Raw genomic sequence first — 25,955 nt, 5'->3', positions numbered from 1 at the left:
CTACTGCCTCTCTAGATTCCACCTCTGAGGGCAGGGCATATCTGAACAAAAGGCAGCAGACAGCTTCTCCAGACATAAACATCCCTGCCTGACAGCTCTGAAGAGAGCAGTGGTTCTCCCAGCATGGCGTTTGAGCTCCAATAACAGACAGACTGCCTCATCAAGTGGGCCCCTGACCCCCAGTAGCCTGACTGGGAGACACCTCCCAGTAGGGGCTGACAGACACCTCATACAGGTGGGTGCACCTCTGGGATGAAGCTTCCAGAGGAATGATCAGGCAGCAATATTTGCTGTTCTGCAGCCTCCCCTGGTGATACCCAGGCAAACAGGGTCTGGAGCGGACCTCCAGCAAACTCCAACAGACATGCAGCTGAGGAGCCAGTCTGTTAGAAGGAAAACTAACAGAGAGAAAAGGAATAGCATCAACATCAACAGAAAGGATATCTACACCAAAACCCCATCTATAGGTCACCAACATCAAAGACTGAAGGTAGATAAAACCACAAAGATGGGGAGAAACCAGAGCAGAAAGGCTGAAAATTTCAAAAACCAGAATGCCTCTTCTCCTCCAAAGGAACACAACTCCTTGCCAGCAAAGGAACAAAACTAGATGGAGAATGACTTTGATGAGTTGATGGAGAAGTAGGCTTCAGAAGGTCAGTAATAACAAACTTCTCTGAGCTAAAGAAGCATGTTCTAATGCATCACAAGGAAGCTAAAAACCTTGAAAAAAGGTTAGACGAATGGCTAACTAGAATAACCAGTGTAGAGAAGACCTTAAATGACCTGATGCAGCTGAAAACCCATAGTATGAGAACTGTGTGAAGCACACACAAGCTTCAATAGCTGATTCGATCAAGCAGAAGAAAGGATATCAGTGATTGAAGATCAAGTTAATGAAATAAAGCAAGAAGACAAGGTTAGAGAAAAAAGAATGAAAAGAAACTAATAAAGCCTCCAAGAAATATGGGACTATGAGAAAAGACCAAATCTGCATTTGAGCGGTATACCTTAAAGTGACGGGGAGACTGGAACCAAGTTGGAAAACACTCTTCAGGATATTATCCAGGAGAACTTCCCCAACCTAGCAAGGCAGGCCAACATTCAAATTCAGGAAATACAGAGAACACCACAAAGAAGCTCCTCGAGAAGACCAACCCCAAGACACATAATTGTCAGATTCACCAAGGTTGAAGTGAAGGAAAAAGTGTTAAGGGCAGCCAGAGAGAAAGGTTGGGTTACACACAAAGGAAAGCCCATCAGACTAACAGAGGATCTCTCAGCAGAAACCCTACAAGCCAGAAGAGAGTGGGGGCCAATATTCAACATTCTTAAAGAAAAGAATTTTCAACCCAGAATTTCATATCCAACCAAACTAAGCTTCATAAGTGAAGGAGAAATAAAATCCTTTACAGACAAGCAAATGCTGAGAGATTTTGTCACCACCAGGCCTGCCTTACAAGAGCTCCTGAAGGAAGCACTAAACTTGGAAAGGAACAGCCGGTACCAGCCACTGCAGAAACATGCCAAATTGTAAAGACCACTGATGCTTTGAAGAAACTGCATTAATTAACGGGTGAAATAACCAGCTAACATCATAATGACAGGATCAAATTCACACATAACAATATTAACCTTAAAAGTAAATGGGTTAAATGCCCCAATTAAAAGACACAGATTGGCAAATTGGATAAAGAGTCAAGACCCATCAGTGTGCTGTGTTCAAGACTCACCTCACGTGCAAAGACATACATAGGCTCAAAATAAAGGGATGGAGGAAGATCTACCAAGCAAATGGAAAGCAAAAAAATGCAGGGGTTGCAATCCTGGTCTCTGATAAAACAGACTTTAAACCAACAAAGATCAAAAGAGACAAAGAAGGCCATTACATAATGGTAATCAATTCAATGAGAAGAGCTAACTATCCTAAACATATATGCAGCCAATAAGTGAGCACCCAGATTCATAAAGCAAATCCTTAGAGATCTACAAAGAGACTTAGACTCCCACACAATAATAATGGGAGACTTTAACACCCCACTGTCAATATTAGACAGATCAATGAGACAGAAAATTAACAAGGATATCCAGGACTTCAACTTAGCTCTGGACCAAGCAGACCTAATAGACATTTACAGAACTCTCCACCCCAAATCAACAGAATATACATTCTTCTCAGCACCACATCGCACTTATTCCAAAATTGACCACTTAATTGGAAGTAAAACACTCCTCAGCAAATGTAAAAGAACATAAATCACAACAAACTGTCTCTCAGACCACAGTGCAATCAAATTAGAACTCAGGATTAAGAAACTCACTCAAAACTGCACAACTACATGGAAACTGAACAATCTGCTCCTGAATGACTACTGGGTAAATAACAAAATGAAGGCAGAAATAAAGATTTTATTTGAAACCAATGAGAACAAAAACACAACATACCAGAATCTCTGGGACACATTTAAAGCAGTGTGTAGAGGGAAATTTATAGCACTAAATGCCCACAAGAGAAGGCAGGAGAGATCTAAAATCGACATCCTAACATCACAATTAAAAGAACTTGAGAAGCAAGAGCAAACACATTCAAAAGCTAGCAGAAGACAAGAAATAACTAAGATCAGAGCAGAACTGAAAGAGATAGAGATACAAAAAAAAAAACCTTCAAAAAAATCAATGAATCCAGGAGCTGGTTTTTTGAAAAGACCAGAAAAATAGATAGACTGCTAGCAAGACTAATACGGAAGAAAAGAGAGAAGAACCAAATAGACGCAATAAAAAATGATAAAGGGGATATCACCACCGATCCCACAGAAATACAAACTACCATCAAGAATACTATAAACACCTCTATGCAAATAAACTAGAAAATCTAGAAGAAATGGATAAATTCCTGGACACATACACGCTCCCAAGACTAAACCAGGAAGAAGTTGAATCTCTGAATAGACCAATTACAGGTTCTGAAACTGAGACAATAATTAATAGCCTACCAAAAAAAAAAAAAACCGCCCAGGACCAGATGGATTCACAGCCGAATTCTACCAGAGGTACAAAGAGGAGCTGGTACCATTCGTTCTGAAACTATTCCAATCATAGATAAAGAGGGAAGCCTCCCTAACTCATTTTATGAGGCCAGCATCATCCTGATACCAAAGCCTGGCAGAGACACAACAAGAAAAGGAGAATTTTAGGCCAATATCCCTGATGAACATCAATGCAAAATTCCTCAATAAAATACCTAGGAATATAACTTACAAGGGATGTGAAAGACCTCTTTGAGGAGAATGACAAACCACTGCTTAAGGCAATAAGAGAGAACACAAACAAATGGAAAAACACTCCATGCTCATGGATAGGAAGGATCAATATCGTGAAAATGGCCTTACTGCCTAAAGTAATTTATAGATTCAATGCTATCCTCATCAAGCTACCACTCACTTCCTTCACAGAACTGGAAAAACTACTTTAAATTTCATATGGAACCAAAAAAGAGCCCACATAGCCAAGACAATCCTGGGCAAGAAGAACAAATCTGGAGGCATCACGCTACCCGACTTCAAACTTTACTACAAGGCTACAGTAACCAAAACAGCATAGTACTGGTACCAAAACAGATATATAGACAAATGGTACAGAACAGTGGCCTCAGAAATAACACCATACATCTACCACCATCTGATCTTTGACAAACCTGACATGCACAACCAATAGGGAAAAGATTTCCTGTTTAATAAATTAATAATTTATTAATAAATGGTGTTGGGAAAACTAGCTAGCCATATGCAGAAAACTGAAACTGGACCCCTTCCTTACACCTTATACAAAAATCAACTCAAGATGGATCAAAGACTTATACATAAGACCTAGGACCATAAAAATCCTAGAAGAAAACCTGGGCAATACCATTCAGGGCATAATGATGAGCAAAGACTTCATGTCTAAAACACCAAAAGCAATGTCAACAAAAGCCAAAATTGACAAATGGGATCTAGTTAAACTAAAGAGCTTCTGCACAGCAAAAGAAACTATCATCAGAGTGAACAGGCAACCTACAGAGTGGGAGATTTTGCAATCTATCCATCTGACAAAGGGCTAATATCAAGAATCTACCAAGAAATAAAACAAATTTACAAGAAAAAAGCAAACAACCCCATCAAAAATGGGCAAAGGATATGAGCAGACAACTTCTCAAAAGAAGACATTTATGCAGCCAACAGACATATAAAAAATGCTCATCATCACTGGTCATTAGAGAAATGCAAATCAAAACCACAATGAGATACCATCTCTTGCCAGTTAGAATGGTGATCATTAAAAAGTCAGGAAACAACAGATGCTGGAGAGGTTGCGGAAAAATAGGAATGCTTTTACACTGTTGGTGGGAATGTAAATTAGTTTAACCATTGTGGAAGACAGTGTGGCAATTTCTCAAGGATCTAGAACAAAAATACCATTTGACCCAGCAATCCCATTACTGGGTATATACCCAAAGGATTATAAATCATTCTACAATACACATGCAGAAGTATGTTTATTGCAGCACTATCCACAATAGCAAAGACTTGGAACCAACCCAAATGTCCATCAATGGTAGACTGGATTAAGAAAATGTGGCACATGTACACCATGGAATACTATGTAGCCATAAAAAAGGATGAGTTCATGTCCTTTACAGGGACATGGATGTAGCTGGAAACCATCATTTTCAGCAAACTATTATAAGATCAGAAAACCAAACACTGCATGTTATCACTCATAAGTGGGAGTTGATCAATGAGAACACATGGACATGGGGAGGGGAACATCACACACCAGGGCCTATGGGGGGTGGGGGGGCTAGGGGAGGGATAACATTAGGAGAAATGCCTAATGTAGGTGATGGGTTGATGGGTGCAGCAAACCACCATGGCATGTGTATACGTATGTAACAAAACTGCACATCCTGCACATGTAACTCAGAACTTAAAGTATGAAAAAAAAAAAAAAAAAAAGAGGGGACAATGATGGACAGTGATAAGGGAAGATGGAGAGAGGGAAGGAGGATGGCCTCCCTCCACCATGAGCCCATGTCCCCAAGGGAACCAATGTATTTCCTCATTTCCCCCAGGCCAAGCAGCCAGAGGACGCCGTGCTGTGGGGTCTGCAGAGAGCAGGAAGCCTCAGCATCAGGGTCGAGGCCGTCCAGTCGTGGAAGAGAATTTCAAAACAGGACAAGGCACATGGGGGCAGCCTGGCAGCCTGAGCCCCTCTGACTTCCCAGAGCCCAGGCCTGCCCCGGCAGCTTGGCGTTCTTTCTCCTGCCAGCCTGGATCACCTGTCCCTTCAACGTATTTCACTGTTTACATAAATGCGTGAATTTATTCCTTCATTCAATATTCTACACATATGTGTTGAATATCTAGCCTGTGCCAGGCATTCTTCTGGGCACTTGGGCAGGGCATGAAATAAACCAAGCAAACATCTCTAACTCTTTAAGCCTCTATTTTCCTGGAGAGAGACAGGCAACAAGTACAGTAAGTGGGCAAGCTATTGCTAAGGTAGAAACTGGGAAGCGTTCTGGAGGAAAGTAACACAGGAAGGCACATAGGGAGTGCGGGGACCTGGGGAAGCAGCTTACCCAAGAGTCCGAGGAAAGGCCTCCCTGTGAAATGGGCGTGGGAGCAAAGATCTGGAAGGGTGACAGCAGGTCAGGTCTTGCAGTGGGAGCATGTGTAGGACAGTCAAGGCCTGGCAAGAGGGCCGGAGTAGCCAAACAGGAATCAGTGAAAGGGGGAAACAGAAGAGGCCAGAGAGGTAGGAGACAGTCAGGGCCCTCAGGGCCATGGAGCATTGAAAGGGCTCTGGGTGTGGCCTTGGCAAGGGGGTCATCACAAAGTCTGAGCGGGGAAGAGACATAATCTGACTTATTTTTTATCACTATGGCAACCGCGTGGAGAGTGGATGAAAAGGCAGCACCGCAGAAGCAGGGCCATCAGTTTCCTGCAGTGATCAAGTAAGAGATGAGGACAACTTGGCCTGGCTGTAGCCACGATGGTATAGAGAACTGCTCAGGTACTGGGAGTATCTTAAAGGTAGAGACAGCAAGATTAGCCAGTAGGTTGCATGAAGAATATGAGTTATGAACTGGACGTAAAGTTGACTACAAGTGTATTAACCTAAGTATCCCAAAGGAGGGAATGGCCATTTCCTAGGGTGGGGAAAATCATGAAAGATTAGGGGAGACAATCAGGCATTCTGTTGCATGCACATTAGGCTTGAGATGGCCAACACAAGTGAAATAACAAGGCAATGGATAGATGAATCTGAATCCAAAGGCCAGGAGAGAGATCTACACTAGACACATGAATTTGGGAAGTACCAGTGCCTACATGGTATCTAATTCCATGAGACTTAATGAGAACATCTTGGGACTGAGTGTAGAGAGCAAGAGAAGAGGTCCAAGGATTGGGCCCTGGGATCCCAACATGAAAAGATCAGGGAGATGGCGGGAAACCAGTAAGGAAGACTAAGAAAGCCAGGGGAGTCTTACAGCAGGAAGTGAGCAGAGAACAAACCCAAGTGCAGAAATTATTTCAAAGAACAGGAAAGTGATCAATTGCTCAAAGCTGCTGGGAGGCCAAGTGGGATGAAGGCTGAGAGCGGACCTTCTGATGTAGCAGCATATCCATGTCAGGTGCCTGGACAAGAGTAGCTTCAGGGGAGTAGGGGTGGAGGAAAGCCTGATTCAAGCAACGTGCCAGGGAAGAGATGTTTGTCTTATGTCTTCTTCCTGAGCACAAAGGAGGCCCATATTTACTTCACCCAGTCAGTTTCATAAGTCAGGAACACACCCAGAGTTTATTCCTGGACACATAGTTCTTATGTGACCTCTTTGCACAATCCTCAACTCTCTCTCTCCTCCCACTCCTTCCCTCCCTCCTTCCATTTCTCCCTCGTTCCGTCTTCCTCTCCCCTTTATGACAGATACAGTCAGGTTATCAGGCTTGAATGGGAAAGCTACATTCTTCATCTGATCTTTGCTCTGAGTCACTCTATTCAACTGAGAAGTGCTCTGTGAAGTTTTCACCCAAAGCCTTATTAAATTTTCTATCTTATTTAAAGACTGAAGCAGGCTTTGCCAAGCCTATCACACATCTCTAGACTCTATTTGCTTTTATATTTGTTGACAAATTGTCCAGTTAATATTGAGCACATCTTTTATATCTAATGTCTTGCACATGCAGACAATAAGGGCCTCCACACACCACAGTCCACATATTCTGTTTTCCACTTTACCTTTGAGCTACGATCTGAGTAAACAGGGACATTTACCAAATATATTGCTGCTACATAACATGGATCTCTAGCTCTCCAGAGTGTGGTATCTATTTTTTTTCTCACCTCTCAAACTCCCCAATGTCATGTATTTTAGTTTTTTTACAGCAAAAACTAATAGCAATTTCTGTATTAGTCAAGATAAATAATGCTAGCAGCTACAACAAAAAACTTTTAAATCTCAATGATTTAGTCTAATCAAAGTTTATTAATCCTATTTTCTTTTCCGAGGCACACTGGAATACAACACTTTTCAGGATCCTTTGTAGTTATGTTAGGGCTCTGTGACCTGGATTTCAGACCTAAGAATGGAAGCAGAAATGCTATGTGCCAACTCCAGGCAGGCCTGACCACATAAACCCCTGTGCATCCTGCTCATGCTCTGCACCTGTATGGTCACTGCAAAGGAGGCTGCAAGTGGAGGATGAAGGTGGCAGACCAGAGAAGAATGATGGTCTGGGTCGTCCCCTGGAGGAGAAACAAGAAGAAGAGCCAGTCAGCTCACAGCAGATGCAGGTGGAAAGAAAAATAAATGACTCTTGTTTATACCACTCAAACAATTGTTGCAGAAACTATCCTGCAAGTACATGTGTATTCAAAATATATATATACTGGGGGAAATGGAGGCAGTGAGTGAGGACAATTGATTTTGTGAGGATATTTGGTATAAATGAGGGAGACAAATGGAACAATAAAGGGAGAAGAAAAGAGTGTGTGTGTGTGTATGTGTGTGTGTGTGTGTTGAAAAGATGTATGTTTGCATCCTCATGGGAAAGAGCAGGTACAGAAGGAAAAGTGATGGTGAGGTCAGAGAGCAACCAATCAACCAATGGCAGGAGCAACATCCGTTGGTAGGAAGAGGACATGGAATGTAATACATGCCGCTCAGGAACAGCACTTGCTGGGAGCACAGACAATTCATCTACACGGCAGGAGAGGAAGCAATGCATAAGGACACAGGTTCAGGCTGGTGAGTAGATGGGTTGGTGTTAATTTACAGAGGTTTCCCTCTGAAAACTTCAATTTTCTCAGCAAGATCACCAGTGGAGATTGCACATGGGGGAGAAGGTGTCAGAGATTTGAGGAAAGAGATGAAGGTGAATAATAAAACTGTTGCATAGGAGCATGGGACCAAGAATGCACTAGGAGATTATCAAATGTTTGCTGCATTGCTGTAAGGGTCCACTTGAAATTAATGATCATGAATTTACAGCAAGACCAGAATGTTTTTGTCCAGCAGAGTCCAGATTCTAGCTGGTTGAAATGAAAGGCTATGGAATTTCAGTTGGGTAAATAGAGCAGTGATGACATATGAAAGACAGATAGTGGGAAAAAAATAATAGAATTAATAGATTGCAGGATGCTGTGAGGTTAAACGATTGTTGGAGTCAAGGGTACTAAGAGAAAGAAGCCAAAAAGATGGCAAAGGACAGAGAGAAGGATGCTTAAAATGGGAGACCATGGAGAAGTTGCTGTTATCACTGATAGTAATGAAATCATACATATGATTGTGGGAATGAGTACTTAGGTGGATGAGAAAAAGAAGAGGAGGCCAAGGGATTTGGAGGCCCCAGGGATAAAAGGGTCTCCTAAATGGATGCTGAGACCACTCACCCTGGTAATGTGTCACCTATTAATAGTGAGTCTGGAACTAAAAACTTCAAACAGTGCGGGGAGTGACCTAGGAGTTGGCACATGACTTCAAGAAGTAGTGGTGGGTGGTACAAACTGGGACCATGGATACAGAACTGGGGGGACAGTTAGAATATTGGAAGGAAAGAAAAAATGGTCGGGAGTCTCCCAGAAGAGGCAGGGACACCCCCCTCACCACATGTAAGCCCATTTTGGGAGAGAGGCAGTGTCCTTCTGGGAGGGCTAAGTTTCAGGGAATCAAAGGTAAAGGGAACCATCAGGAAAGAATGATGCTAGAGGTGTTTTGTATTGATGTCCAACCATATGAAGAGATCACAGGGAAAGAGTTACAGGAATTGGAAAAGATTTGATGAAAAACAGAAAGTTGTATTACAGATATTTGTGGGGGTCAGAGTCTGGGGCTGAGAGCTGACCTGAGGCAGTTGGGGTGACTGATCCAAGCAGGGCAAAAGGAGTGTTGGAAGTGGTGAGGGGTAGCAGATGCTGTGGAAATAAAGGGTTGAAGGTTTGTCAGGAGCTCTCAGAGTTCCAGGCTCCCACCAGCATTCTGCCAGAAACCCCAAAGCAGGCAGAAAATCCTCTTATTGAGGCATGCTAAACTCTCATTTAATGCTTTAAATGAATGAGTGAATGAATGAATCAATCAATCAATGAGCCCAACACTTTCATTCTAATGAAGAGAACAACCTCGACTCTGAAGGGGTGGAGTCCCTTGTTCCAGGACACAAGGTAGGAGAAGACACATCCCTTGGGTTGAATTTGGGTTGAATTTGGGTTGAATGGTAACACTCAAACTAACCAGCCCTGTCACCTTAAGCAATTTCCTCACCCAGGAACCTCGGTTTTCTAATTTGTAATTTTAAAAAATTTTAACAAGTAGATATTAAAAGCATCTGCTTCATCAGTTATTGAAGAAACTGGGTTAATGAAGTCTTAAAACTGTGCCTAGCATTTAGTAAACACTCTTCATGTGTTAGCTATGATTATTAACTATGAGTCCTGCTCAATGTCTTCATATCTAAAGCTTTTAACCCACATGTCCCCAAGTCTTCCAGCATTCTGAGCTCAACCTTTCCTAGTAAATCCACTTTAAATGACCTAAGTCCCCATTCCACATATACTGGAAAACCCAGTCTCTTCCAGATTTCCAAGGGCTTACTTTCTCCTCCCCACCCTGGCTCCACATTCCTGCTTCCTATGACTCCCAGGAGTTGCTAGTTTTCTCACTTCCTAAGGCTGCTGGCTTTCTTCCATCACCTCAACCCCTTTGGTGTGCAACTCAAACTCTCTCTTTTATTCCTCAGAGCAACCCTGATACCAGGCTTTCCTGGAAACCAGACACTTACTGAATATTGATAGTGAACCATGGCACCATGTGCATGGTACACACACAATTCATTCACCTATTTTCTTCATTAACCCTTTCTTCCGCCATCCTTGCCAAGAATTGCACAGTTTCTAGTTTTAAATTGATGGACTTCCTTTCATTACCAAGACTTTTTTTCTCTTCTTTAACTATTTCCTTTGCACTCCTCTTCATTATCTATACGTGTACACACACACACACACACACACACACACGTAATTTCCACCTTCCCTATGCAATGCATCAGGAAGACTCCAAATCCCTACAAATTCCTGTTACTTAATTACGCAGATCAGTTTCCACTCTCAACTCCAACCCTATTCCAGATTCTAGCCCTAACTTTGTGGTCTACTCTTCTAAATAGGAAGGCTTGACTGACTTTTTTTAAATTACTTTGTTTTGCTTTTTAGCACATTCCAGATGAAGTCCCTAAACAGGGCTCCCTTCCCAACGAGAATTTATTCACGTATTACATGCTTTATAAGGCACTATCCAGAATACCCTCCTTTGAAGTGAGTAAGAAATTGTATCAAAGTCCCGAGGGACAGGACCCCTGATGGGAGTAGAACATAGTCGCACAAGTGCCAAGACACCAGCGTTCATCCTCAAGGGTTCCATTCTGGATTGCAGTAGAAGCTCTTGGAGGGAAAGAGGTCCAAAAAATATGACACACAAAAGTTTTAATAAAGGTCAGCAGCATGCCATCAGCCAACCTCCAAGCCTGATGTGAGTTTACCCCACAGTGAAGGGACATAGGCAGATTGAAGCCACACAGGCGTTCCTGTGACCTGCAAAACATGAACAGGAAGTGCACATTTGTAGAAAGAAATACAGCCACTTTGCTCACTGCACTACCTAGTTCTGGAAGCTCATGTTTTACTCCACCTAAGAGAAAGGGGGAAATTAGAAAGAAGGAAAATGAGAAATGCGGGGTTTTTTTTTAAGAAAGAGAAAAGGGAAAAAGTGAGTCTATGATTGCAAGCAAGATCTTCTGTTCCCCTGCTCTGTCTCTTTAAGGGTGAATTTCAGACTCTGCTTTGCTTCAGGTGACAGCACAGGAAGTAACAGTGAGCCTGGCTCCTTTTTAAGTCTTAAAAAGAGAAAACACCCAATCCTGACTGTGAAAATTCAAGCAGAATTTGATTTATTCTTCACCATGAATGATTCCATTTAAAGCAGGAAATAAACTCTGATAGCAAAAATGTAAATCAAACCTCAATGCATGAAATCAGTCTTCATTTTCCCCCCTCTATTATCAAACTACCACTCCTTTTATTGGAACTATACAGTTGGCTACATCCACCTGCTTTCAAACACAATCTCCATCTTCATTCGGGCTACTATTAAGTTATACTGCTATAACTAAGTACTGTGAACTGAGTGGCTTATGAACCACTAAAATTCATTTCTTACAGTTCCAAGGCTGGAAGCCCCAGATCAGGTGCCAGCATGGTCAGGTTCAGGCAAGGGTCCTTTTCCGGATTGTAGGCTTCTGACTTCTTGCTGTGTCCCCACATGATGAAAAGAGAGGTACTAGCTCTCTGGCCTTTTCCTATAAGGGCACTAATCCCATTCATGAGGGCTCCACCCTCATGACCTAATCACTTCCCAAAGGCTCCACCTCCAAATACTATCACATTGGGGAATCAATTTCAAAATATGAATTTTAGGGGGTAACAGTTCATAACAGCCTGTCCTTGACATGAGATCACATAACCATGGCAAAGAGTCCCCCAACCATCATACTTCCTGCACACACTGAAAATGCAGTGTTATACAGCAACACTCTCTCTTGGTTGGAGTAAGTCACCATTCTGAAGTCAACTACGTCTTTTCATTCTGGCTTATAATTGACCAAAAGTAAAGGGGGAGAAGAAAGAGAAAAGAAAGCTCTTATATGACTACCCAGAGTTTTGTAACCTAGACATGTCTTCAAAGACATGACTTTTTTTCCTGAATGTTCTAAAAATGGATGTTATGTATCTGCTAAAAATATGATAATTAACAAGTATGCTTTGAATCACATAATAGCAAATGTCATTTTCCTGTAAGATAGAGTATCAGTCATGAGCACTAATGTCCAGAGAGAGAGTTAAGCTGCTGACCCTAAAGGGAGAGCCAGCTGCACAACTGTGCATGGGAGTGACCAGAGCAAGTAGCCGAGACAGAGCAGACAGGGTAAGAGAACTGCTGATGAGAGAGCTGCTGAATAAAGCTGTATTTCACCTACCTACGGCACCCCCAAGTGTTCTTTCAGCTATCTGCCATTCAGTCACCCACTCCCTTTGGACCTCAGCTTGGGCTGGAGCCTGACCCTGAATCTAATACCACGCCTTATCTTTTCTTCATGAAACACCCTGAGACAGAATCCTTGTCTCAAGTCACACTATAGCAATAAAGTGGGTCCTTTTCTGCCCTCAAAGAAGAGAGTGCCTGTTCCGCATCTCTTTACTCATTTAGCAAACACCTATGATGATTTAGATTCTGAAGTTGGAAAAGTGAATGTGTTTCTAAGGTGCTCTCAGCCTCATTGGTTACAGAATATGCTTGGCTTCATGGTTCCCCCAAAACTCCGGGCCTCACACTGAACTTAACTTTGTCAATAGCTCAGTGAAGCAGAATGCAGATCATGGCTGTGCTCATTTCAGCATGCTGGTTCCCCCTCCCCTGGGCTCCAGCGGGACTGAGTCAGGTGTCCTTCCTTTTTTGCATTATCCACCAAATATGTGTCTTCACCTTGCCACTCAGAGTGTGACACAGGAACCAACAACATCACATCATCTAAAAGTTTTTTAAAAATGTAAACTCTCAGGCCTCTCTTCAAACCCACTGAGTCAGAATCTGCACTTAAAAGATCCCCAGGCAATTCAAAGGGACAGTAAAGTTGCAAAAGTACAGGTTCTCCAATGCAGCTTCACAATGGCCTCATCCGGGGAACCGTAAAAAATAAAGGTGCCAGGGTCCCACTTCAGAGACTAATTTATTCTGTAAAGGATGCCAGCTGGGACATTGGACTGTTTTAAATCTCCCCAGATCATTCTACTGTGTAGCTAAGTTTCAGAACGCCTGCAGTAGACAGGACTCACCTGTGTGGAGAAGCACCTGGTGTTATCTCAGAATAGGCAGAGGTGGGAGTGAGAATAAGGAAGGGTAGGGGCCAAGGACCTGGGAAGGAAGGCATCATCAAGACACGCTCTGAGATGGCCTCTAATTAACCTCCAATTGGACAGCCTCTCATGTAAGCCCTCACTTTACAAGAAGCCAAAGTCAGGAAAAGGTTGATTACTTGCCACAGTCATAAAGCAGGTGAGAATCAAAATAGAAAGCTGTCCAGGTTGGGGGATTGGAGAATGCCAGCAGCAAGAACTCTCAGCCTATTAAATGATTGATGTCTCTGCTATTCTCCCCACTCCCTTTCTGTGGGGCTAGCAATGTCCACAGGTGCTTCCACTCTGTTAACTCTACTCATTCCCTTTGTGCAAACCATAGAGGCTTTCATGGTTGCTACAACTCACCTGTACATTTGGCTCTGCGCTTCCTATGATCAATCCAAAAACCAAGATACAGTCAGTCTTGTTACCACAAAGTAAAAAGTGTCCCAGCTCCTCAGAGGAAGCAAAGTCTTTCCTGGCCCTTGCTCTAGGCTTCATCTAGAAGGAAGCTGGAGCAAGGACCTAACGCACACTACCTCAAAGACATCCCACACAGTAATAGTTTTCATAAAGCCATTATGTATAATATCTCTGGATGTAAGCCAAGGAAATAACATTAAAATGCATGAAAATTCTGCTGGGGACTAAGAACATATGGTCCAAGTGCACAGCTTGATGCAGGAATAAAAATTAGCACAACTAGAGGAAGGGATAAACAGCATGCCCTTCAAACAAGTCCTCATAAATATCACTTCCATTATCCAGGCTTTTGATAAAGCAGTCAAGGATTAAGGTTCAATTCACTGCCTCAAATGCCATTGCTTTATGTCATGGATTGAAGGAGAAGCCCAAACAAGCAAATAGTAGGGTTTCCATTCATTTGTGAAAACTCATAACTCTATCCAAGACATTTAGGAGAATAGAGGATCATGTGTTTTGTGCAAAATGGGGTCAAATGTCTATCCAAAAGGAAAATCCAAGAGTTTTCTCAAAACAGTTTGTCTCTATTACAACACACAAATATACAAATGATTGATCAAGTCTTGAAATTCTTTTTTTTTTTTTTAAGACATTCTCACTCAGTCACCCAGACTGGCGTGCAGTGGTGACATCTTGGTTCACTGCAACCTCCGCTCCCAGGTTTGAGCAATTCTCCCACCTCAGCCTTCCAAGTAGCTGGGATTACAGGCATGCACCACCACACCTGGCCAAGTCTTGAAATTCTATACACCATGCATGGTATATAGAATGTACCTACATGTCTCCATGGTCCCTGTTTCTAAATGACATGAGAGTCCTGGGGCAACACTTGGTCAGAGGGCTGGGCTTAAGGGAAATTCCTGCAGAAAAGAGAACATCAAATAAATCTTGAGAGATGAAGCAGCTGTCAATCAGTCAAAATGTGCAGGGACGATCTGAATTGGAGAATAGCCTGAGCTTTAGAGGTGGGCATTGCTGAATTGTTGGAGGGAGAGTGAGAGCTGGACGGGCAGCCTGCCTGGGTGAGGGGAATGGCGTGTATGGGGGAGTTGTGGAACATGCAGGTCAATTCTCTCCACTCCAATAACACTCATCCCTCATTCAAGAGCTCAACTTATAGAAAGGCCCATCATTTGGTGGTTCAAGCAGAAAACAGCACCATCTTCAACTCCCTTCTCTTCATCATTCACATCTATTGGCACCATGTCAATTCTGCCAATGGAATATCTTTCAAATCTATTCCTTCCAGCTACCTCTACTTCTCTTAGCTCAGACCTTGTCACGTAGGTTGCATGCCATAAATCATGACCACCAAAATCTGCCTTTAGAAAGTGTGATGGTTAATACCGAGTGTCAACTTGACTGGATTGACAGATACAAAATATTGATCCTGGGTGTGTCTGTGAGGGTGTTGCCAAAAGAGATTAACATGTGAGTCAGTGTGCTTGGGAAGGCAGATCCACCCTTAATCTGGTGGGCTCAATCTAATCAGCTGCCATCGAATATAAGACAGGCAGAAAAACGTGAAAACGAGAGACTGGACTAGCCTCCCAGCCTACGTCTTTCTCCCCCATTCTGGATGCTTCCTGCCCTCAAGTTCTTCAATTTTGGGACTCGGCCTGGCTTTCCTTGCTCCTCAGCTTGCAAACAGCCTATTGCAGGACCTTGTGATCATGTAAGTTAATAATTAACTCCCGTGTATATATATGGGAATATATATATATAGATATATATGGGAATATATATATAGATATATATGGGAATATATAGATATATATGGGAATATATATATATAGATATATATGGGAATATATATAGATATATATGGGAATATATATATATAGGAATATATATATGGAATATATATATGGGAATATATATATATGGGAATATATATATATGGGAATATATATATGGGAATATATATATATGGGAATATATATATGGGAATATATATATATGGGAATATATATATGGGAATATATATATATGGGAATATATATATGGGAATATATATATGGGAATATATATATGGGTATATATATATGGGAATATATATATGGGTATATATATATGGGAATATATATATGGGTATATATATATGGGAATATACATATGGGTATATATATATATGGGAATATACATATGGGTATATATATGGGAATATACATATGGGTATATATATGGGAATATACATATGGGTATATATATATGGGAATATACATATGGGTATATATATATGGGAATATACGTATGGGTATATATATATGGGAATATACGTATGGGTATATATATATGGGAATATACGTATGGGTATATATATGGGAATATACGTATGGGTATATATATGGGAATATACATATGGGTATATATATATGGGAATATACATATGGGTATATATATGGGAATATATATATGGGTATATATATGGGAATATATATATGGGTATATATATATGGGAATATATATATGGGTATATATATATGGGCATATATATATGGGTGTATATATGGGTGTATATATATGGGTGTATATATATATGGGTGTATATATATATGGGTGTATATATATGGGTATATATATATATGGGTATATATATATATCCTATTAGCTCTGTCTCTCTAAAGAACCCTGCCTGACACAGCAAGGTATATGATCAATTCACACATTCCAGAAATACTTATTGAGCAACTATTGGGCATCAAGCATTGTACTAGGAATTGAGAATAAATTGTTTAAAAAACACTAGTGTACAATGTGATAAGTGCTGTCAAGAAATGGACACTGCAAAATAGACTGGTAGGACAGAAGGGTGGTGTCAGGCAGGACTTTCTGAGTGGTAACATGTTCTGAGGTCTGAGATCCACATGAGAGCATGAGAAGACCATGCATGGCAGAGAAAATAACATGTGTGACTATCCTAAGGTGGGGAAGGACTGTCAGAGTGAAGAATGAGCGAGGATGAGGGGCATTCAGTGGTGGGAGGAGGCTGGGGTGGTGGAATGACCCAAAGCAGTCAGTAAGGCAAGACCTTGCAGACTACAGGAAGGGGTTTGAAAGTTATTTACCCAGAAGCCACTAAGTTACCTTAATAAAAGTGGCATGGTGACCTGATCAGAAGTGCATTTTTGAAGATACCACTGTCTGCTGTGCAAGCAGACAAAACCAGGAGAGCTATAAATGGAAGCAAGAAAATTCACTGGGGGATGATTGCAGCTAAGCAAGAGGTGGTAGTGGTTCTGACTATGAAGGGGTAGCAGTGCCTGAGAGAGGTGGATAAATAGGGGTAGACTTGGGAGGGAGATGGACAGGACCTAGGGATGAGTTGGATGAAAGAAGATGAGAAAACATGAATCCAAATGATCCCCAGCTTTCTGGGAAGCAACTGAATGATAATGCCCATGGAGGAAGGCTGTGGGCAGAAGAGACAAGCAAACATGGCGACTCCAATAAGACACAGGGGGAGCATCCTCTGCTGAGGCAGTGTTGGTGTTGCCTCTTAATTAGTTCATGACAATGTCCAGTGTCTAAGTTCCTGCACCATCTCATCCCAGTCTCACCTCTTAGCACCGCCCACTCCTGCCTCAAACCTACTGTTTACACTCCAGGGATATGCTGGACCACATTGCCCTCCTGTGCCCTTGGACAAACCTTTCCTTTTCCTGAACTACCCTCTCCCTTCTTGGGCATCTGGTAAACTCTACTCATCCTTCAGTGCCCAAGTCAAGTGTCACCCACTGTGACGTCTTCCAGAATATCCCCGACTGGAGTAGTGCCCCTCCTCTGCCTCTACAGCACCGCACAGTGAGTTCCATTATAAGATGGCCATTTTGTGCTAGGATTACTTGATCATCTATGAGCCCCTCAAAGCTGCAACCGTTTGTGATTACATATGATCCATTTCATGCCCTGCACAGCACCTGATGGTTTTGGGTATCAAAAAATATGTTGTTGAAGTCAACTGAATACGAAAAGAGCATAGAAGCATTACAATGCAGTCTCCTCCCAACAATTTTTTTCTTCCTAAACTCTGGGCCTTTGCTGAACCTGGGCCTGCCTCTGACTCATTCTTCTCTGCCCTTCATGTGGATCTGATGGAGATCCGACCCCTCCTTTTGAACTAACAAGACCAGTTCTTTCTCTCTCTCATATATGCAGCATGACTGGCAATTCAGAACGCATTTAGGTGCTTCCAAAGTAACTGCGACTTCACTGATGCCACATGTAACAGTCTGTGGTTAGCTCTTCCAGGGGGAAGGTCTAGATTTAATGTGTTGTGTGTTTCTGAAAGTCAGTGCCCTTTATAACTGATGTTGATGAGGTGTGTGACCTCCATTTCCCCATGCATAAATAGGGGTCATGCTTGGTGGTCCCTACGGGCTTCCCAACTCTAGCTTTTATGACGCCTTGATGACTAATGAAATTGAAGAAGATGAGGTGACATCTCTGCATGCTCACTAGAGTGAAAGTTGGGCACTGCTCATGGCCTTAGGGCATTAGTCATATCGTAAGCAGTATTTATGCATATTTTTAAATCCCTGGAGAATACATGCAGGGAGGAAAAATATACATTTATTGAATGCCAGAAGCTATTCTAAGCATTTGAAAGAGAAGCTTGGGGGAAAAATTGCCCCAAAATGCAGCATACTTTGTTTGCCTTGGGTCTGGATCTGGAAAGTGTGCCACAAGAACTACTATCTGCATCTTGTGGGGATGTCCAATCCCAGGGGGAGGCCAGGGGAGCCTGAGTCCTGCATTTCACGTTTATTTGTGCAGCTTTGGTGATTTCACTGCACAAATGACTCAGACTCAAATAGCATTAGGAGTTGTTGTTGTTTTTTTTAATTAGAGGAAGAGGATTCCAAAATAGAATCATAGCTGAAGATGGAAGAGGTAATTATCCTTTTCAAAATCATCTGTGAATCCAGGCAAGAGGCACACTTTTTTGACTTTTTGAAAGTCTCTTTATTGGAAAAATAACAAGCATCCCCAAATAGAAAGATTGATCCAGGCTGTAAGAAGCCAGATGATGGCACCAGGTCCCTAATTGGGGAAAAAAAAAAAAAAAAAAAAGTGGTTCTGAAGTGGCAGCAGCAAGACCTGGTGAGTAATTAGATGTTGGCAGTGAGGGAAATGGAAGGCCTTAGAATGACTCCTATGTTTCTGTCTCATTTCCTGAGATAGGGAATGAGGAGAAAGAATTTAAAAAGAAGATGATGAGTCCCTTTCTGGCATTTAAGGGCTCTATGGAAAATGGCAGGGAAGGTGCCCTGTAGGCAGTTGGCTATGTGAACAAAGACAATGCTAGACCTCTGAATGCAGCAGGTCTGGGTGTGGGGTAGAAGTTGAAGCCCTGGGGGTGGACAGAAGTGAGCTGGGCTCATTAACATCCTAGATCACTTGCAGCATCCACACTGCAAGAGCACATTGCGCACCACGCTCCTGTGGACAGGTGATGGTCAGGAGCTCCACTGGAGGAGGACACTTCATGGAATGGAAGAAAAACGATGAAAACTAGGAAAACGTCTAACATTCCTCTTTCCAATTCCATCGAGATGTTGTTGAAGAAGCATATCTCCTCTCAGAAGCTCAGTTTCCCATCTGTGAGAGGAGACAAAGAGCCCTCCGAGCCAGAACATTCAAGGACTGAAAGGCTCATAGCGTGTGTAATTGGAGTATGGGAAAACATATTAGGAAAAAAAATAGTTCATCCTCAGAGATGACAGCTATGTTGTTTGCATTCATTCCTTTAATGTGCATTTATTAAGCGCCTACTGTGGAATAGGCCACAGGGCAGATGAGACTTGGAATACTGAATCAAGGGACAAGAGACCAGGGTACCAACTCAACATCAACCACATTCTCTGAAGTGTAAGCCAGTTACCAGGAGAGTGTCTCAGAGAGAGGTTGACGCTGGCCTGAGATTTCGTTTTTCTTTTTTAAAAAAAATCACAGATTGGCAGTTTATAATTTTATCAATTTCTAGGGTACACAGCACTGTCAGGATTCATGAAATAAATGTGGAATCATTAAATCAAGCTAGTTAACATACCCATTACCCCAAATACTTCACATTTTTTGTGGTGAAAACATTTGAAATTTACTCTCTTAGCAATTTGGGCTTCTAGGATTGTTGACATCTGCTTCATAAAGTGAATAAGTGCTCACTGTGCAAAGCTGTGTAGCCAGAGGTCTTAGGTTGGGAGCATAGAGTTGATATGACACAAATGTGGATCATGTTTGGAGTGCATTGAATACTCCTATGTAATTGCATCGCAAGATGTAGGGGTGACTGGCAGTAAGTGAGCCTGAAAATGCGGGTGACAATCAGGCTGTGGAAGGCTTTGAATGCCATACCAACCCTGGTCAGACATTACTTAATTTCCTAATTCCAGCCACTGGCTGGGAGGATACTACTGTCTTCTTATAAACAATATCTCCTCTAGGGCACCCCTTTACCTTATATCTAGTTGATTCTTATTTGTTATAGGGCATAGTTCCCAACGATAGATGTACATAATAAACTCCTAGGAACTTGAGGAAAAACAATAGTAATAATGATAGCTTGGTTCCATCCCAGACCAATTATATTCAAATATTTTTTCTAGATCCCAGGCATCAGTGTTCTTTTTAAAAGCTCTCTAGGTAATTACAAGGTGCAGCCAGGGATGAGAAGTAATGCTTTATATTCACTTTCACATGTCCATGGTGGAAATGGCCACCAACTAGTCTCCAGCTGTGAGGTTGTCTCTGTAAGATTCTTAATGGTCATAGAGCCAAAGCAACTGCACTATTCAAGAAGCACATTTGAAAAACATTAGAAGAAACCTAAAACATTTGGCCAGGTGCGGTGGTTCACATGTGTAATCCCAACACTTTGGGAAGCTAAGGCCGGTGGGTCATTTGATCGAGACCAGCCTGGCCAACATGGTGAAACCTTCTCTCTGCTAAAAAAAATAGACAAAAATTAGCCAGGCATGATGGCACACGTGACTGTAGTCCCAGCTACTCGAGAGGCTAAAGCAGGAGAATTGCGTGAACCCAAGAGGCAGAGGTTGCAGTGAGCCGAGATGGCACTACTCCTCTCTAGCCTAGGCGACAGGGTGAGATTCCACCTCAAAAAAAAAGAAACCTAAAACATTTGACTTTAGTAGGTTCCTCCTCAGCAATCCTAGCATTTGATTTAAGTTCACACTCCCCTTAGCTTTTGTTCACACAAAGCAAATCCAAGCAGCAATGTATAAAGCTGTGCTCCTCCTGCCCCTCTGTCTGGATAGATGCCCTGGATCACTCAACTGTATCCTGTGCCCATCCCAAAAACTCACATGAACCATCCCCTAATGAGGAAAGGCCAGCTGGGACCTTGGCCTCTACCTACCATTTACTAATCTACCATTGAAATGTTTTAGAGGATAGAATTTTTCTGACACTTTTACTTTTGACATTGATTAAAATTGCAATGAGATGATGACATACCTTGTGAAAACCTTCAATATGTATTGGAGCTTTTGCTTTTCCTGCCTCAGATGTGATCTGCAGCACCTTTGAGATATACTTTTTAAATGCTATAAATATCTCATTGCTATGGATATAGGATAGCCATATCCATGGAAGACACCGCTTACATAGCTAACAAACGTGACTTTCCTTGTTTGGTTAAGGCCTTCAATGACCCAGAACCTAGAAGAAAAGCATGTAACCAAAAGCACCCCAGCAGAACAGAATCACGTATCTTTGATGAGAACTGGGGAAGGAGTCATATGATTCTAGCCTCTGGCATATGTTAACGCACCTGTGACCTTGCACAAGCCATTCCCTTTCCTGGACCTCAGTTTCCCTATTGAGTTAGATTTGATAGTCTCAAAAACCTTTTTCCAATTCTAAATTACATTTTTATCAATGAAAAACTTTTGACTATGGAGGAAAAGTACTTTACTTGATTGCAATCACAGCTATCACTAGCTGGTGATGTTGATTAAGTCTCAGCCTCTTTTTTTTTTTTTTTTTTTTGGAAAATGGGGAGGTAACCATTTACTGAGCAGAGCTCAGATATAAAGCAGAGTGTCTGAAACTTCTAGGGGCTCAATAAAGCAAAAAGTAAAACCAGCTCTCATTTATTGAGTGCTCCTAGGTACTGGATGCTTTATATGCATTATTTGGTTAATCAACAACTTAAATTTCTCTGGAACTAAAGAAATGAATTGACATACTTTTTAAATCCTCATAATACAGCAATTTTACAAATGAGGAAAGGTGATTGGGAGGATTTGAATTCTAAGGAACACACAAATAAGCAAAAGTGGGCTAAGGTCTTGAACTAGAGATGCCCCGATTCCAAAACACTGTCTGATGGCAGAGACCTTCCTAAGGCTGAGTGCCAGCTCCCTGCAACATGTAAGAGAGTCCCTTAGTCCCCACGTGCCTCCCCCGGCCCCACCTTCTTCCATCTGTTTCTCAGCGAATTACCCTGAAGAGTAAATTAATTGAGAATTAGGAAAGCACCTTGTAAACTGTGAAACACACACGCAAAAGTGAACTGCTATTAATATTGAAATGACTTCTCACATGCTGAAAAAGGACTTACATTATCACAAAGAATCCTCGTTAAACCTTCAATACGTAAGAATCCCTTTCTTAACCCAGAGTTTCAATGAAACTCTCTTTTAGACCTGTGTGGTGAAGTGAGGGGGGAGGGGGTGGAGGAGGGAGACAGCACAGCACCTGTGCCCATCCGTGACCACCTCCAGGTCTGGGCACTTTGCATAGCACCTCCTGGAGGCCTCACCACCACCTGATGCAGAAGCTGGGGGTGAGGCCACTTTGCAGTTCACAAAGCACAGGCATTGTCCCAAACCACACAACTACTAAGTGGCAGAGTTGGGTCCTAAACCAACTTGTGGCTGAAGTTTGCCATCAGGTAATGGGGTCTCTAAAGCCCTCTTGAAACATCCACTGGATTCATTCAACACGAGACTTTGTAAAGCAATGGCTTCCTTGGTGTTGTTTTGAGAGAGCAAAATCTTAATCAGTTCATACGTGTGGCCATTGCATCCATTAAAATGTGATTTCAGGCCTGGTGCAGTGGCTCATGCCTGTAATCCCAGCACTTTGGGAGGCCAAGGTGGGCGGATCACGAGGTCAGGAGATCGAGACCATCCTGGCTAACACGGTGAAACCCAGTCTCTACTAAAAATCCAAAAAATTAGCCGGGCGTGGTGGCAGACGCCTGTAGTCCCAGCTACTCAGGAGGCTGAGGCAGGAGAATGGCATCAACCCGGGAGGCGGAGCTTGCAGTGAGCCGAGATCGCACCACTGCACTCCAGCCTGGGCGACAGAGCGAGATTCTGTCTCAAAAAAAAAAAAAAAAAAAAAAAGTGATTTCAGCATTTACTTCCAGCAAAAGAACCCCAGAAAACTGTTGCTCCATTCAGTCCAGGGAAGGATCTTCCCTGAATTCCAGGCACCTCTGAACTCCTAAGGATTTCCATCCTGGGAACCCTTTTCCCAAGGAGCTTGTGAGCAACACAGCCGTTATGGGAATGGCTTAGGTACTTGGGTTCATGGCACCACGACTGCAGTAAATAGCAGTGGTTACTCTCCCCATTAGAGGAAAGGCCCAGTGCTACTACACAGCCCCCAGTCCATTAAGAGGAAATGTAGGTCATCTCTGATTTCAACAGACAGTGTGATCCTCAGTGGTAAAATAGTGAAATGAACCACCTCAAAAAATGCATTTCCCATCCACAACCCTACCCATAGCTAAAAGACAAGATGAGACCTGTCTTTGCAAAAAATGTAAACATTTTTTGATGCTCATTCTGTCCATTGCTATTCCAGGTACTGTGAGAGTGGCAAAGATGCATGAACTTGCTCCCTGCCCTGAAGGAGCTCCTTCTTAGTGGATTGGGTGGAGGTAGGACACAGGCAGCACTTCCTTATGGGCAGAGCATAAAGGGTGGGTGGGAGCAGAGGGAAAGTGCAAAACAGGGTAGAGAAGTAGAAGCTAATCATGGGAAACCTTCTGATTGATAGCAAAGTCCTGAGCTTGATCCCCAAGGCATATTCAGAAGCTACAGTAGGGCTTTCTGCCAAGACCTCCCTAGGCATGTCTCTATTCTGCATTCATTGTACTCTCATACATATATGAATGATATGTATGAGCCATGTGGCTTCTAGCTGGGTTCATGTTTCATCAGATCCTTAAAGGATTCCCCAAATTTATGGGTGTATCTCACCCATGCATGAAGATCTTCATGGGGCAAAGGTGTCCAGCAAGCCCCAAAGCGTCCCAGGGCTGTAAGTACCTGCCCATCTTTCATTTAAGGGTCACCCAACCTCATCTTCTGAATGTCAAGGAGTCTTCTTCTTGCCTATACCAAGGCTTGGTCTTGGCTTGGCTGGGTTTGCAGGTGAAATTTCTCCAGCACAGCAGCTATTCAGAATAGATGTCATCAAATCTGAGAATCACAGGACTGCAAGGCCAGTGGCCACTGGGCTTCCCTTCATGTGCTGCTGATGGTTTCCTCCTAGAGGCTCCTCCACAAGGTCCAGCTCTACCAGGAGCTGACATTTGCCTTATGCTTCCCATCTTGGGAGAAGGGAGCCTGTATGGAGGTAGCAACATTCTCTCGACTCTTGACCAGCTCAACTGTTGGACGATTGTTCTTAATGCTGAGTTGAAATCCATCTGCTGGCAATCTGGATTTGTTGGTCTTAGTTTTAAGGGACATACAGAATGTGCTGACTTCCTCTTCAACACGACATGTTTATTTATCTGATTAACCCTAGAACTGTGAGGTCCTCAAGGGTGGAGATGATGTCTGATTTGTGTTGGAACCCCCACAATCAGCACAATGCCTAATCTATAACAAGCACTCAATAAATGTTGGCTAATTAATGGTATGCAAATGATACATGAGATTAATAAATGTATTCCTGATAAATTATGCTATGTGAATGTAAAAGCAACATTTGTAAGAAGCATTTATGTCTGATAACATCTTTTCATCTTACCTTTCATGACTATTTTTTGACTATACATAAAAAATTCTCAATAGTAAAATTTTTTCATCTTTCAGCTAAGAACTTCCCCTATAAGTAGCCCCAATTCAGACTGAAATTTTCCATTTGGGAGGGAGAAGACATGATATTCTCAGAGCCCATTTTCCTTCACAACATGGGTCAGTGTCTCAAATTAGCACTTTCTCACCTGGGAAGAAAACTAGACTCTGAGGAAATGGAACAGAGGGCAAAGCCATTTGCCCAGATAAATGGAGGTGAGAGATGCCCAGAGGAGGTGACCTTCCTTCATTACCTCTTTGTCATGCCTTTCCTGTGTTCCCCAGAGAACAGGCTTCTCCCTTCTCTGTGCCAACATATTATCTTTCAGCTACTCCCCTCCATGCGGCCACCTTTCCTGCCACATGCTAATGATCTGCCATAAGTCAGTCTCCTACAGCAGAGGAGTGAGCTCCTTAAGTGCAGGGCACTCTCTGTGTCTGGTTTATCTTTGTGTCCTTAGCCCAGCTCAGGGCCTGGCATACTAAATAGCAAACTAGATTCTCCCTGTGCATGCACTTAGAATTAATTTATGCCCTGCCAAAAGCAGCCAACCATGGCTGTGTGTCTGCCCTTCAGAAGTGAGAATGTTTGCCAGGTGCTCCCAAGGGCAGGTTCTTATTTCTTTGTAATATTTCCACAAATGAAGAAATTTTCATTCCCAATAAGTATATCCCCATTGACTGCCAGGGCTTGCAGTTTTGCCTTCTCCTTTTGAAAACTGCACACCCACTACTTCATTCAGAGGGCCTGGAAGACATCAGCTTGACCATTTGCACACATTAAGCAAAGCCATGCAAATCACATCATGTCACTTTGCTTCTTTGACTCTCCCACTTGAAATAACATCCAAACTCCTGACTGGGGCCCACAAGGCCCAGCACGATCTGTCCCTGCGTCCTTCCCAGCTTCATCTCCTGCTACCTTGG

General features: G+C 42.5%; 1 long non-coding RNA gene across 2 annotated transcripts in view, besides 1 other annotated feature; it reads right to left on the bottom strand.

Moving 5' to 3' along the window:
- The window catches only part of MIR3681HG (MIR3681 host gene), a 571,233-nt gene that overhangs the window by 439,258 nt on the left and 106,020 nt on the right, over positions 1-25,955 (bottom strand). The window contains exon 4 of one of the 2 annotated variants that reach the window (NR_110197.1): positions 7,506-7,785. The exons of the other annotated variant lie outside the window; for it this stretch is intronic. This is a non-coding gene — a long non-coding RNA (MIR3681 host gene). Of the gene's footprint in view, positions 1-7,505; positions 7,786-25,955 lie in introns of those variants that run through there. 2 annotated transcript variants of the gene reach the window in all.
- Positions 18,082-18,282: a silencer, noted in NCBI's record as "peak3592 fragment used in MPRA reporter construct". NCBI's record gives its function as "represses an SCP1 promoter by STARR-seq MPRAs in K562 erythroleukemia cells {active_cell/tissue: K562}" and the evidence as "EXISTENCE:reporter gene assay evidence [ECO:0000049][PMID:32103011]".

This window comes from Homo sapiens, chromosome 2, assembly GCF_000001405.40.
Source record: "Homo sapiens chromosome 2, GRCh38.p14 Primary Assembly".
NCBI lineage: Eukaryota > Metazoa > Chordata > Mammalia > Primates > Hominidae > Homo > Homo sapiens.
The sequence above is the reverse complement of the archived record's forward strand: the minus strand, read 5'-3'. Positions and strand labels throughout refer to the sequence as shown.